At 48.0% G+C, this 14,327-nt stretch overlaps 1 long non-coding RNA gene across 7 annotated transcripts in view, besides 1 other annotated feature; it reads right to left on the bottom strand.

Moving 5' to 3' along the window:
- The window catches only part of LOC105376205 (uncharacterized), a 98,539-nt gene that overhangs the window by 30,901 nt on the left and 53,311 nt on the right, over window positions 1-14,327 (bottom strand). For 5 of the 7 annotated variants that reach the window (XR_930216.2, XR_930220.2, XR_930219.2 and 2 more), the window contains one exon: window positions 12,405-14,251. This is a non-coding gene — a long non-coding RNA (uncharacterized LOC105376205). Of the gene's footprint in view, window positions 1-934; window positions 1,144-2,747; window positions 2,822-12,404; window positions 14,252-14,327 lie in introns of those variants that run through there. The other 2 variants (XR_930218.2, XR_930217.2) reach the window with 2 other exon arrangements.
- Window positions 1,490-2,127: an enhancer, noted in NCBI's record as "H3K27ac-H3K4me1 hESC enhancer chr9:110394581-110395218 (GRCh37/hg19 assembly coordinates)". NCBI's record gives its function as "activates a minimal SCP1, AML or CMV promoter by ChIP-STARR-seq in primed H9 embryonic stem cells {active_cell/tissue: H9 hESC(primed)}" and the evidence as "EXISTENCE:reporter gene assay evidence [ECO:0000049][PMID:30033119]".

Genomic DNA, 14,327 nt, shown 5'->3' with positions numbered 1-14,327 from the left:
CCTCTGCCTCCCGGGTTCCAGCAATTCTTCTGCCTCAGCCTCCCGAGTAGCTGGGACTACAGGCATGCGCCACCATGCCCAGCTGATTTTTGTATTTTTAGTAGAGACGGGGTTTCATCATATTGGCCAGGCTGGCCTCGAACTCCTGACCTTGTGATCCGCCCACCTCGGCCTCCCAAAGTGCTGGGATTACAGGCGTGAGCCACTGCGCCCGGCCAGATTCTTGCTTTCTTATTCACTGGAAACTACCTCACGCTAGTCATATAGTTCTTGCCACAGAATTATTTGCAAAAACCAGTGCTAGGCTGGAAAGTCAGAAACACTTGGATTTGATTCCCTGTGCTGATGTTTACCAGGCAAAGACCTTAACCCCTCTAAGACTCAGTTTGTTCACCTGTAAAACAGGGATAATAATACTGACTCAACAATTGTTGCAATGGTTAATTTAGGCTAAATGCTACCCCCACAACCCACCAGACCCCCACATAGTGCCTGGTACAAAGTGAGTGCTCAATAAATGGCAGTGTCCTTCTAACCCTCCTCTGTCAACTCTTTATTCACACTTATCCTATCTTTACATTAGCTGGTTGGCACGTCATGTCTTCAGCTTCTCTGTTCCTCCTGGTGTCTAGCCGGTCTGAGGCACATAGTAGACACAGTCAGAACAGAAGCAAGGGAGGGTTGCTGTGCGTTTCCACTTAGGCTGTATATTTTCCGAGATAGCAGCAAATGTCTTATCTTTAACTCCTCACTGTCTCTCTCTCTCCTGCTAGAATGATCCTTTCCACCTTTGTAAATCCAGGATGCAGCTAGGTGAATGAGCGCATGGGTGAATGAACCGGCAAATGCCTCCCATTTCCTCACATGACCTGAAGCCTGAACATTGGCTTTAATTTTCAAGCAAGTTTCATTTTAACTCAGGCATTGTCTGAGAGCCAGGATTTCTTTGGAATGCTCATTTACCTTGATGGTTGTGTATTCAAAACCCACCACAGCTCAAATGATCTTATTTACATGCAGTTCTATTTAGCAGTGAACAGGCAGGGGACCTTCCATCACAGTCCAGTCCTTTGTTGGGACAAAAACTGCCCCTATTCGAATTTCCACTGTGCTGACATACCACCGCTCCAAAAGAGGAAAGTCCTAAGGAATCAAAAAGAAAAAGAGAGGGAGGGAAGGATCCAGCTCAAGCCAGCACACCTCCACCTCCCCTGAATAATGTATGTCTGATTTGTTTGTTTTCCTTCTGCAAGGTTGGCTGGCCTTGCCTCCTCTTTAATAGATACATTTTTTTAAAAAAATCAGAACTGGTTGAGTTCCAACTATGTGCCATTTCTTTTCACACATCTTATATAATTTCATTCTCATCTCATTCATTTTATAGATGAAAAACAGTCTCAGAGAGGTTAGGAAGTTTCCCTTCCGTCACACATCTAGAAGATGCCACTGCATGCTGAGAGCACTTTCAAATTCTTTTTCTCCAGTCTTCCCCAACAACTCACAGCCACCCAACATATGGGCTTGCGCACATACACACCATACTCACACTTCATTGACTATGTTTTAGAGAAAGATTCAACACTGGAAGAAGCTTACTTATTGAAACAGAGTGTATCATTCTGGGAAAGATCAATTCACAAATTCACAACAGGAGGAAAAGGGAGGAAAAGGGAGATACAATCAGGAAAGAACGCAGGGAAAGTTTAAGCTGTATTTGGTAACATTTTATCTGTTAGGCTGGATGGCATTTACACGAGTGTTTGTATGTTGGACTTTGTAAGTGTTCATTTATTGTAAATCTGTCATAATACATTTTCAGATTTAGCAGCATTGCCCGTGCTCACTCCCAGTTCTTGCCATCCACACATACATCACCAGACATACACACTGACAAACACAGAGCCATACTCCGCACACCGACAAGTACACACAAGCACCGACACACACTCATCCATACACATTCACACATTTATCTTCACGTGTTGAGTCACGAGAACCCCCACACTGGCTCGTGTTGACAAGCACACACTCACACACACACAAACACACTGCCTGCTAACGTAGCCTCTGACCACCCCTCTTCTCCAGTCAAGGACAACAGGGTCAGATGCAGAGACCCTAAAATCTGGGAGGCTGAGATGACACCAGCTGAGCGATGGGCCCACCTGAAATTGCACAGAGTGGGAAGGCACAAGGCCTGCTTCAGGGAGCTGGCACAGGCAGGTGCCACTGACGGCCAGTCACACGAGACCCGTGTGTGTCCCCCAGGCCCAGGCAGATGTTCTCTCTCACCACAGGCTCCTCTAGGAAGGGACAGAGTTAAGGAGCAGAGGGAAGACTCTGGTGTTTCACAGTTTGGGGTGGGAAGCAGTAACTTGTGTGGGAAACAAACTCCTCGGAAACCATAGCAACACCCATTTGGCAGCTCTGGATTGGACCCTGACCAGACATTTATTAAGCAGCCGCATAAGCTGTGGTCTCCAGAAGAACAATACCAAACTGATCAAATGTTAATAGCTTCAATCTGTTCCTCCTCACACAGCTCCTACCCATCCCCCTCTCTCAACAGACTTTGCATTTCTGCTTCTTAGCCTCAGCAGAAGACCGCCTCTGCTGCTACCCTAGAGCCTAAGTTCAAGTCCAGGACCACGAGGCATGTGCAGGTGACTTAGAGTGCAGAGATGGAAGGCAGGTCTCACCAGGGGGCCCTTGGGGTCTAAATGGGGCCATTCTTCGGTTAGACTCACCGAGCTGAATAGTGTCCAAGATCATGTGATTGGATACTTCTTAACCTCACTGCTTTTAAGAATTAGCTGGTAAGCTTTAAAAAAAAAAAAAAAAAAAAAGTCAATGTAATCTGAGTCTCTAGGGAACAGGGTCTGATCATTTGTATTTTTTAAATTTCCTCAGTCAATTCTAATATGCAGCCAGTATTGAGAACCACCGCATAATTTCAGCTCCTTGTAGAAGTGGGGGTGGGGAAGCCCAAAGAGGGACAGGGACTTGCCCAAGGTCACAGAGCTGGTGAGACACCATGCTGAGGGAGAACCCAGACATCCTAACCCTAGACAAGTCGTGTTCATTTTCCTGGGCAACAGCACTCTATGTGAGTCTTAAAAATGTATCCCTCTCCAGCCAGGCGTGGTGGCTCACACCTGTAATCCCAACACTTTGGGAGGACGAGGCAGCTGGATCACCTGAGGTCAGGAGATCAAGACCATCCTGGCTAACATGGTGAAACCCCTTCTCTACTAAAAACATAAAAATCAGCTGGGCTTGGTGGCGCCTGCCTGTAATCCCAGCTTCTCGGGAGGCTGAGGCAGGAGAATCAGTTGAACCAGGAAGTTGGAGGTTGCAGTGAGCTGAGATCACGCCACTGCACTCCAGCCTGGTGACAGAGCCAGACTCTGTCTCAAAAAAAAAAGTATCCCTCTCTTTAACTCACTATGGGTCCTGCTCTTTTCTGCCAGGACTTGGGGGTCGAGGAGGTGGTTGCAGGGGAAGGTGATAAAATGAATCCAAGGAGGATGCCAGAAAATGTGTTTTTGTGCTGGGTTTTGTTTTGTTTTTGTTTTTGCTCTGTTGTGCAGGCTGGAGTGCAGTGGCGCAGTCTTGGCTCACTGCAACCTCCGCCTCCCAGGTTCAAGGGATTCTTGTGCCTCAGCCTCCCAAGTAGCTGCTACCAGGCCCAGCTAATTTTTTGTATTTTTAGTAGAGACAGGGTTTCACTATGTTGGCCAGGCTGGTCTCAAACTCTTGGCCTCAAGTGATCCTCCTCCCTCCAGCCTCCCAAAGTGCTGGGATTTATAGGTGTGAGCTACTACACCCAGCCCAGAAAATGTAGTTTTAACAAAAATATAAAGGACCAGATATTCAAGACATCACGACAGTCACACTGACTGGTTTACATTTGCCATAGTTAAGACAGAATTTATCATGGCTAAACATGGGACTCTCCAACCAGATACCCAGGCCCCCAAGCCCCAAGCCTGGGAAATATCTTCACTTCCTCCAGTGTCATTAGTGCCCCTGTGAAGTCGGTCTCCGCGCTGTGAAGAGTCTACCTCATAGGGATATGGCGACATCCTCAGAAGCATTGGTTGATTTCCCAATCCATACCACCATCCTCTCTCACCCAAAATGCCTAACCAGCCTCCCTCCACAGGCAGAGGTTCTGTCATCCATCCTCCACAGAGCCGCCAAAACATTCTCTCTAGAACACACATCTGGCTATGCTGCCCCATGGCCAAAGCCTCTGTTTTTAGGTGCACCCAAGCAGCTTGCTCATTGCACACTGACCACATCCCACCCTCTAGGTGAAGGCCAGGGACTCCAGTGGGAAATAAGATAAACATGGTCCCAGCTAGTGTTCAAGTTATATTCTCCATGAGGAGACCAACACTGACTAATCATGCGACTGCAACAGCTACAGAGCTGAAAGAGGGGTAATACTGAGAGAGTGTGTAATGGGGGTCACATTGCCCTCTCTGGCCACGTCAAGAATGGATTGTTCTGGCCAGGTGCAGTGGCTCACAGCTGTAATCCCAGCACTTTGGGAGGCCGAGGCAGGTGGATCACTTGAGGTAAGGAGTTTGAGACCAGCCTGGCCAACATGGAGAAACCCCATCTCTACTAACAGTACAAAAATTAGCCGAGCATGGTAGCACACACCTGTAATCCCAGCTACTCAGGAGGCTGAGGTAGGAGAATCGCTTGAACCCAGCAGGCGGAGGTTCCAGTGATCCGAGATTGCACCACTGCACTCCAGCCTGGGTGACAGGCCAGACTCCATACCAAAAAAAAAAAAAAAAAAAAAAAATGGATTTTTCTGAGCAAAGGATGGGATGTTTAATCTGATATCTGAAGGGTGAGGGAGTTAAGAAAAAGGGGAGGAAGAATGGTCTCAACAAAGGGAACAATGATATGCACAGATGCTCTGGGTGGTACAGGAGCACAGTCTAGGACCCAAGAGCAAGGAGAGAGGGGTGCACAATGAGGCAGGTCAGGGGTCAGATCACACAGAGCCTTTTAAGTCATGGAAGAGATTTGGGGTTTAGCCTTTGGATTTTAGTAGAGTGACTAACCATACCAGTGTGCCTGGGCTGAGGTGTTTCCCAGGGTGTAGAACTTATAGTGCCAAGATATGGAGGGATGGTGGGGAGGGTGGAGAGTACCAGGACTGCGGGAGGGTAACGAACTCAGTGGCTGAGTTTGGGAAGTTAGTGCAGTATTCAAGTGGAAATGTTAGCTAAGCTCCTATTTCTACCGGTCTGAAACTAGAGATCTTTGCAGAAAGAAATAGGTGTGGGAGCTATCAGCTCAGAGAAGGTAATTGAAGTATGGGAGTTGAATAGTCAACCAAGAGATAAAGTAAAAAGAAAGCTGGCAGATAAAATAAACTCCAGCCTTCATGAACCCCAGTGTATAAAGATCTGGTAGCTAAAGGTGAAAACAAGTAAAGGAGGCTGAGAAGGAGCAGCCAAGGCTCTCCAGCAGGAAAACCATGAGTCTGTGGGGTCTCTATGCATGAGAAGAGGGAGGGTCAGCAGGACAGAATGTTCCACCGTCATCAATGCCACTAGAAAATCTAACCAAACAACTGGGAAATACCAACGGACAATGGAATGTGGAGGTCATGATGACCTTGTGAAGCAGCAAAGGTAGAGGTGGATTGGGGCGTGATTGGAGGGGGAGGGAAATGGAGACGATGCGCATAGCACAGAACATTTATTTGAAAAATTTGGCTGGGAGGGAAATTGATGAGTCAGGAGCTGGAGTAAGATGTGAGGTGGAGTGAGGGTTTGCTGTAAGATGAGAGACCTGAGTGCGGGTAAACGTTGATGGGGAGGATCCAGCAGAAAAGGAGGGATCAGACAACGTAGGAGTCCCCACAACTCACCGCACACTGCCTCCTGCAAGCTCTGCACACCGCGCCTCCAAACACTCCATGCATTCTTTGCCTGATACGCACCCTCCCTTTATCCGTGATAACTCTTACTGGAATCAAAGGACCACCCCGGGAAGCCGTCCCTCATCTGTATTTGTACAGCCCAGCACATGCACCTCTGCCACAGCACCCAAATTTGGCTGCTTTCCATGTGGTCTCTCCTGCTAAATGGTGAGCTCTTCAAAGGCACAAAACTCACTCCAAATCTTAGCCCACGCATTGGCTGGCCCAGAGTACATGCTCAGTAAACACTTGTAGAATGAATAAATGAATGAACAATGTTAGTAATCAACAATAAACTAGAAGATGCACATGACCAACATTGAGGACTTCTGGGTTGGCAAGAAGGGTGAGTTCTGTTCCCCAGAAGCAGGGCCCTCAAAGAAGCTGGTTCCTACGATCCCTGAAAGGGGGAAGGGGACTGGAAGGCAGGGTGTGGTGGACTCCTCACCGAGCTCACATTCTTCCCTTCCATTGTTCCTGGCGGCTGCACATGGAAAGTACAACACCCACTAAGGCCCATGTGTTTCCCTCCTGCCCTCCCTCAGCAGGGAGGGAACAGATGGGTGTAATTTATGCCCACACCCTCCTCTTGCAGCCTTGGCACTGGGGAGAGGGGACGCAGGGGCAGAGACCCACCCAGGTTCCACAAACTTCTCTCAGTACTGAGGCAAGAGAGCCACAGCAGGGGCTAGCTGGGCCAGGAGCAGGAGAGGACAGGCAGAGGGGAGGAGGGGGATAAAAAGAACAGAACTGCCATGTGGGAGTGTCCATGGCATTCCAGCATTGTGCCAGGTGGGTGCATACATTATCTCAGCACATTTCTGCAAGGAGCAGGCTCTTGCACCTACTTGAAACTCAGAGAGGTGAAGGAACTGCTCCAAGGTCACCCAGCTGGTGAGTGGCTGCAGTGTCAGGGTTCTAATCCAGGTCTCCCTGGTTCCAAAAACAGTGTCCTCCCCACTAGACCCCACTGTGGGAGAAAGTCACATCTTCAAGCCTCCCTGCACCCTCCCTCTCATGGGTCATCTAGGGCCATGACAGGCAAAAGGACCCTCAAGGTTCACATTCTTCTGCTGAAGGAAGCTGGACACTAATGCCAAGACTGTAGAAAACACATACAGATGAGCTGGAGAAGGCAAAGCTGGAGAGAAACACAAAGATGAGTGTGGAAAGGGCCAGGGGCCAGGTCCTGTCAGGGCAGGCACTGCCTTGGAGGTGAACCCTCCGAAGGTGACTGTCCTGCAGCCAATCCTCAAAGCTGGAAAATAGGCTAAGAATGATATTCTGAGAAATGCTGAGCTCTGAGACACCAAAACATACCTTCCCTTCTTGGCCACCTCTTCCCTCTTCCTTTAACGGCAATTGAGGCAACTGGCATAGAATCCATGTTTAGGGAATCACATGAACCTGGATTCAAACCTGTAGCTCCTCTGCATGCTAGCTGTGTGCCTGTGGGGAAGTCATGTGGCCCTCCTGAGCCTCAGTCTCTTTATCCATAAAATAAGGTTGTGAAAAGGAGATGACTGGGCCGGATGTGGTGGCTTACACCTGTAATCCCAGCACTTCAGGAGGCCGAGGGAGGCAGATCATCTGAGATCAGGAATATAACACCAGCCTGGGCAACACAGTAAAACCCTGTCTCTACAAAACATACAAAAATTTGCTGGGCATGGTGGTGGGCACCTGTAATCCCAGCTACTCAGGAGGCTGAGGCAGGAGAATCGCTTAAACCTGGGAGGTGGAGGTTGCAAGGCTGCAGTGAGCCGAGATCGCACCACTGCACTCCAGCGTGGGCAACAAGAGTGAGACTCCTTCTCCAAAAAAAAAAAAAAAAAAAAAAGAGATGGCTGAATTCAACACGCTATTGCTGCAATTGTGTCTATTGAGCCCATCCGGTGCTGTTTTGGTTTGGTTTCTTTTTGCTTTATCAAGTCAGCTACTTGCAAAAAATGAGACACTGCACTTAAAAATCCAGATTTCCAGCTTCTTTGGATAATCAGAGTGCCTGCAAGTTGGTTCTGCATTGACTCATAGCTACAATTTAGAGGGGATATACACACTTCATTTTTCCACTGCCCCGTTACTCCCTCCCGGCCTCATCAATATCACCTGCCCACGGGATGTGGCTTTTGCTGCCTCTGGTGTAAAAACCATTTTGACCTTAACCCTGAAACTCTGACCACCTTGAGTGCAGTGACCCCAACAAGTTCTGGTTCACCAATATCTCCCCAGAGCCCAGCACAAGGCGTGGGTCCTAGTAGGTGCTCAGCCATTCATTTGTTAACAAATATATATGTCGAGTCCCTACTCTGTGCAGGAACCACGTAATATGCTGAAGATGTGAGCAACTAATAAGCCAGATATGTAAATGATGCTCACAATACAATCCATGAGACAAGTTGTGTTATTATCTCCAATATTTAGGTGAGCTGGGGAAACTGAGCCACAGAGAAGGTAAGAAACTTGCTCAAGACTCCAAGATAAAGAGGAGCAGAGGTAGAATTCAGTTTTTCTTCTCTAGAACCAATCAATGCTCTGAACTAGGGATCTGCAAACTACAGCCTATAGGCCATCTGTTTTTATAAATAAAGTTTTATTTTCTTATTTTTGTTTATTTATTTTGAGATGGAGTTTCACTCTTGTCCCCCAGGCTGGAGTGCAGTGGTGTGACGTCAGCTCACTGCAACTTTCATCTCCCGGATTCAAGTGATTCTCCTGCCTCAGCCTCCCGAGAACCTGGGATTACAGGCGCCCACCACCACACCCTGCTACGTTTGTATTTTTAGTAGAGACGGGGTTTTACCATGTTTGCCAGGCTGGTCTTGAACTCCTGACCTGTGGTGATCCACCCACCTTGGCCTCCCAAAGTGCTGGCATTACAGGTGTGAGCCACTGGGCCTGGCCTAAATAAAGTTTTATTGGTGCATGACCACAACCATTTGTTTACTTTGAGGCTGCTTTCACACAACAATGGCAGAATTGAGTGGTTGCAACAGAGATCCTTTAGGCTCTCAAGGCCTCAAATAGATACTCTCTAGCCCTTTGCAGGAAAAGTCAGCTGACTTCTCCTCTGAACCACGATTCTAAGCATCCTATCTTCATGAGGGGTCTTTGCGCTCATAAGATTTCTACTGAGGGGAGGGGGCGCTTTTTAAAATACATAAAAGAGATACATGTGGCCAGGCGTGGTGGTTCACGCCTGTAATCCCAGCACTTTGGGAGGCCAAGGTGGGCGGATCATGAGGTCGGGAGTTCGAGACCACCCTGATCAACATGGTGAAACCCTGTCTCTACTAAAAATACAAAAATTAGCCAGGCATGGTGGTGCACACCGGTAGTCCCAGCTACTCAGGAGGCTGAGGCAGGAAAATCACTTGAACCCAGGAGGCGGAGGTTGTAGTGAGCCGAGATCATGCCATTGCACTCCAGCCTGGGTGACAGAGAGAGACTCCGTCTCAAAAAAAAAAAAAAAAAAAGATACACATTACAATGGAGAGGACCCTGGTAGCTACTCTACTGAGGGTCCTGGAAAGACCTTTGATAAAACGTCATTAAGCCGAGATCTGGGTGACAAGGAGCCAGTCACATGGAGATAGGAGAAGAGATTTCCAGGCACGGACCGCCTGGAGCACAGGCCCTAGGACTTGAGCAAGCATGGGGGTTCCAAGAACAAAAAGAAAGCCAGCATGCTCCTAACTCAGCAGGAGAGCAGGAGGGCGCGGTGCGGGTAGGAAAGGATTTGGCCATGAAGGGCTTTCTGAAAACGTAAACGGATGAACTGTGCAGGCCTGGAGGAGACCAAAGCCTCCTCTGGCATTCGCTGGCTTTCTGAATCCAGATCCTTCCTTTAAACTGGCAGGCCCTCCTCTCCCTGGCTATGAAAGGAGTTCCACTATGTGCCACGCTTCTGGGACTGAGGCAATAAAAGACTGATGGAAAAGCCCCCTGGAACGATGCAGGGCAGCCCCGAGACTTGAAGGCTGCCCCTGATGTGTGTGCTGAAGTGAGCCAGAAGATTCATCACCCCCAAGAGCTGGAGGCCCCTGTAACCCGGGAAGCTTGAGGCTCCCTTCCCAGCCAGGCTGACTCACGGCACAGCCTCCCATGTGCACTTTAGCCTGGGGCTGCCTTCCCTTCACACAGCCCTTGGCTACTGGGGAAGGTTTGCCAAAAGGAAAGGTGGCCAGGGGAAGGAGGCACTGAAGGGATAGGGTAAAAGTCCCATCAACTTCACTGCAAGGAATAATTGAGTTTGCTGGGAACATAAAAGCAGAAAGCCTGGAAGCTGAAGAAAAAGTATGTGCACGTGTGTGTGTGTGTGTGTGTGTGTGTGTGTGTGTGTGTGTGTGTGTTGACATTGGGAGGCAGGAGCCAAAAAGGAGTGCCTGGGTAATATGTGACCAGGGCAAACCAGGTTTTCTAACTCATTTATCCAGATCCCGGGTCTTTGCTGTGTGGGTGACGCTAAGCAACTGTTTGCATGACTGGCTTGTCAAATCTGTAAGGATTTGAAAAGGGGATAAGTGAATGATGCATGGATGAAAGATTCGGGGTCCAACAGGCTTCCTGGCTCCACCCCTTATTAGCTGGATGACCTTTGAAAAATCATTTCAACTCTGAGTCTCGGTCTCCTCACCAGGAAAGTGGGACTACCACCTCCTATAAAAGGCTATTTTGCGGGTTAACTGGAATTATGACACCCTTAGCAAAGTGCAGGTGGCACCTCTTTCCCTTCCTGGATTCCCTGGATCCAGCTGGGTACCTGGCACAGTGAGACTGGATAAGAACCTAGACAGCACAGGAGGGACTGGGTTTCTGAGGTCTCTGTGTGTCTGATGCATGTAGAATGGTCTAGTTCTTCAGGACACATAGTCCTGAGTCCTGAGAACACCCAGGGTATCAAATGGTGCTGTGACTGAGCTTTATTAATTAGTGAATTCACTCAACAACAATACATGGGGCATCTGCTCTGTGCTGGACCCTGCAGGAATGCAGGAAATACAGAGATGAAGAAGAAAAGTGGTGTTGGGATGCTACCAGATTGCCAAGTGGGAGAAGGATAAATGAAACATTGTGGGCACATAAAGAAACATTGGTGGCATGAGCACACAACTGCATGACCATTTTCTTAAGTTATTTGGACACTAACATAGCTCACAAACAGATATAGCTGCCCTCCCTGCTCATAGGAAAACATCACCTCTATCAAAAAGCAATCACACAAATAACTCAGGTTTCATATTCCAGGCAAATGTGGATTCCGTTCTCAGCTCCTTTAATACCCAACTATGTGACCTGGGGCAAGCCATTCACTCCTCTGAGTCTCAGGTGGCTTAAACCTAAACTGAGGATAATACCTACCTTCTCGGGCCCAGAGGTTTGACACGGTGGAACAGAGGAGAGAGAAGCTCCGGTTTGTGCTACTGACTCTAATTGCCCTCCAATATTGGTTCTCCCCTTCTCTCTCAGAAGAACCCCATGATATTTGCTGAGTACATGGCCACCCTGAATAAATCACAGCTTCCCTTGCTGCTGTGTTTGGCCAGTCAATTAAGTTCTGACCAATGGGATAGACTTGGAAAAGTTGTATACAATTTCCAGAGAGTGTGCCTAAAATATGCTCTCACTTATCTCTGCCTTTCATTCTTCTTGCTTTCTGGAATACAGATTTAATGGCTGGAGCTGCAACAGACACCTTGGACAAAGAGGTGACCTTGAGAATAACACAGGAGGAACCTGGGGCTCCAACACTATGTCACATGCCAGCCCTGGACTAGAATACCTCTGACTTATTACATGGAAAAAAAAATTGCTGATGTTACGCTTGCTGAGGGTTTAGAGGAGGGGTGATTATCGCCCATCCTCACAACTGAATTCAATTCTTTCTAACTAATTTTCATTAATATTAGCACAACACATTCAGGGGGCGAGCACTGTGTGGTGGGCACTACCCTATAGGCACTGCCTGCATTTCCTCCTGAGGGACCATCTGCCCGACAATGCATTGCCTCCCAGACCTCCCACACTCTCTCCTGGTTTCCAGTGCTCCTCCAGTGAGATCATGAGCCCTGTGGGATGCTCTCAGAGAGCTGAGTTCATTACAGCTAACAATGACTGCTGCTGAAGTCCGGTGGCTGCAAGGTCAGAAATACAGGAACACCTTTATAAATGTACAAAGATGAGAACGTTTCCAAAAGCAGGTCCCAAATTTGTATATGGTTCAAGTTCAGCTGTGTGATTCAGCACCAGCAGCCTAAAAAGCTATCCATGTATGTACTCGTCCAGTATGTACACACAGAATGCCTTCTCCAGCCAGGGCACTGTGCTAAGCCCCACAGGCTGGAAGGACAGAGAAGGCCCGGTCCCTGAGAAGCAGGGGCCAACATCTGAATGAGGAATTAACGTGTTCACACAAAGCAGTTCACACAATGCACTTTATTCATTCATTCAGCAAATATTTATTGAACACCTACTATGTGCCAGGAAAAGGGCTAAGCTTATAGGAAACAGGGAGGAAATAGGTGAGGAAGAAAATTAGAAATTTAATCCAGGGCTGCCAATTGAACAAGAAAACAGCTGTCCTCACCCTCTCGGTCCCAAAGAGGCCAAGCATCCCCCAAAACTCCCTCACTTTGAAGTCCAAATTTTCCTAACAATGAAAAGAGTCACAGAGCTTAACAAATGGACTTGACTTGCTTACTTGTTGGTCACAAGAAAGCAGAGGTCACTAGCAATGGGAAAATACCGGCAGTTTCCTTTGTTGTAGGCGAAGGTTGGAATCTAGAATGTAAGGCCCTCCACTTCCTAAGCGTTAGTCAATGAGCTCAGCTTTACAGTGGTATCGTGATGGCCATCAGACACACCTGAGATGGAATCCTGGTTCAGCCACCACCCAGACAACACAGCTGTGTGACCTGGGGGGATTTAATATTTCTGTAAAAGGGAAAGAATATGCCACCATCCACATTTGGTACTAGGAGGAAAAACTGCTCTCTATCTATGGGGAATAAAGGAGAAGGAGCAGAAAGGTAGAGTGGGGGAAAGAGCTTAGAGAGGCCCCCCACCCAGCATGAATCCAGTGAGTCTGCCATCCTCCTGGTCTACGAGGGCCTTGTCTATTCGTCTTTCTCTCTGTCTTTTTTTTTTTTAGTTGTAATAAAACATACATATTATGTAAGTGCTTTCCCCTTTCAGGGCCTCGGTCTCCCCATTTAAAAAGCAAACGGGTTGGCTAGGTGAAATCTGCTGCTGTGCCTCTATTCAGGAGAAGCCGGCTGTAACATTCAACTAGAGGATTTCCTGGACTTCTCTCGAGTGTGACTTAGCAGCCTAGTTTTGTATTTGCAGGGCATTTAACAATCAATCATCTCAGAACAATATCCAAGTAAGCATTTTATCAGGGAAGTTAAAGGAGAGGCGGACAGAGCACACGGAACACCACCAGCACAGACCGGGGCTGGAGCGCAGCCGGCCAGCACGTTCAGAGCCCTGAATTCCAGCCTTGCCTGCCCTGGAGCAGCCAATCACATGGGCCTGGCTGTATCCAGAAGTCTCATTAAGTCTGTTTTATGGCTGTTTTTTTGACAAGTGAGGCCTTTAAAACAGGTTTCCTCATTGTACAGAGAGTGAAGTTCAGTCCAAACATTGTCTGCAGAAGAAACTGGGTGGACCCAAAAGCCAGGGGGACCCTAATAAACTCTACTCACACTCTGGAGCCAAAGAAAGGGATGCTTCTTCAGACACCCTGTAAGTGGCTTTGCTAAGAATAATAATGCAAAACAAAGAATAGAAGCCCCAATCTCCCAACACCTCCTAGCTGTCTATACCTTCTATATCTTTAACCTCACAAATCTAGTACAATATTATTGTCCTGGTTTTCCGAAAGAAAAACTGTATTTCCCTTCAAATCCCTACAGCTAGACAGGACTAAACCAGTATTCAAATTCTAGTTCATCTGATGTCAAAACAGTTCTGTCTATTCCACCAGCTGCCTGCCACAGATGGTGATCGCTTGGAGTGGATTCCTTAACAGCCCAGCTTTTTAGGAAGAGTCTTTGAGAGTCTAAATTACCACATTTCTCCTTGGTCCCCCAGAGGAAGACCAGTCTCATCTTGGAATTGTGTGTGGTTTGGGAAGCTGAGTTGGAGTCAGATTCTCCATCCAGGAGGACAGAGCAGCTGCAGGCCCTACTGGAAGGGAACTCACGTCGTAGCAATCACGCACCCGATTTGAAAGCCTTGCTGGTGAAGTTTCTCAGGGCCAGGTCTGGTGAGATGGGCCTCCTTGGCCATCCCGGAACCCTAGGAGAGTCACAACCACCCACTTGTTAAGAGAAGATCAAGGGGGAAAGTCAGACCCTGAGGGCAGAAGGGAGAC

Source organism: Homo sapiens, chromosome 9 (genome assembly GCF_000001405.40).
Source record: "Homo sapiens chromosome 9, GRCh38.p14 Primary Assembly".
In the NCBI taxonomy this organism is placed as follows: Eukaryota; Metazoa; Chordata; class Mammalia; order Primates; family Hominidae; genus Homo; species Homo sapiens.
This window is presented reverse-complemented; position numbering and strand designations above follow the sequence as displayed.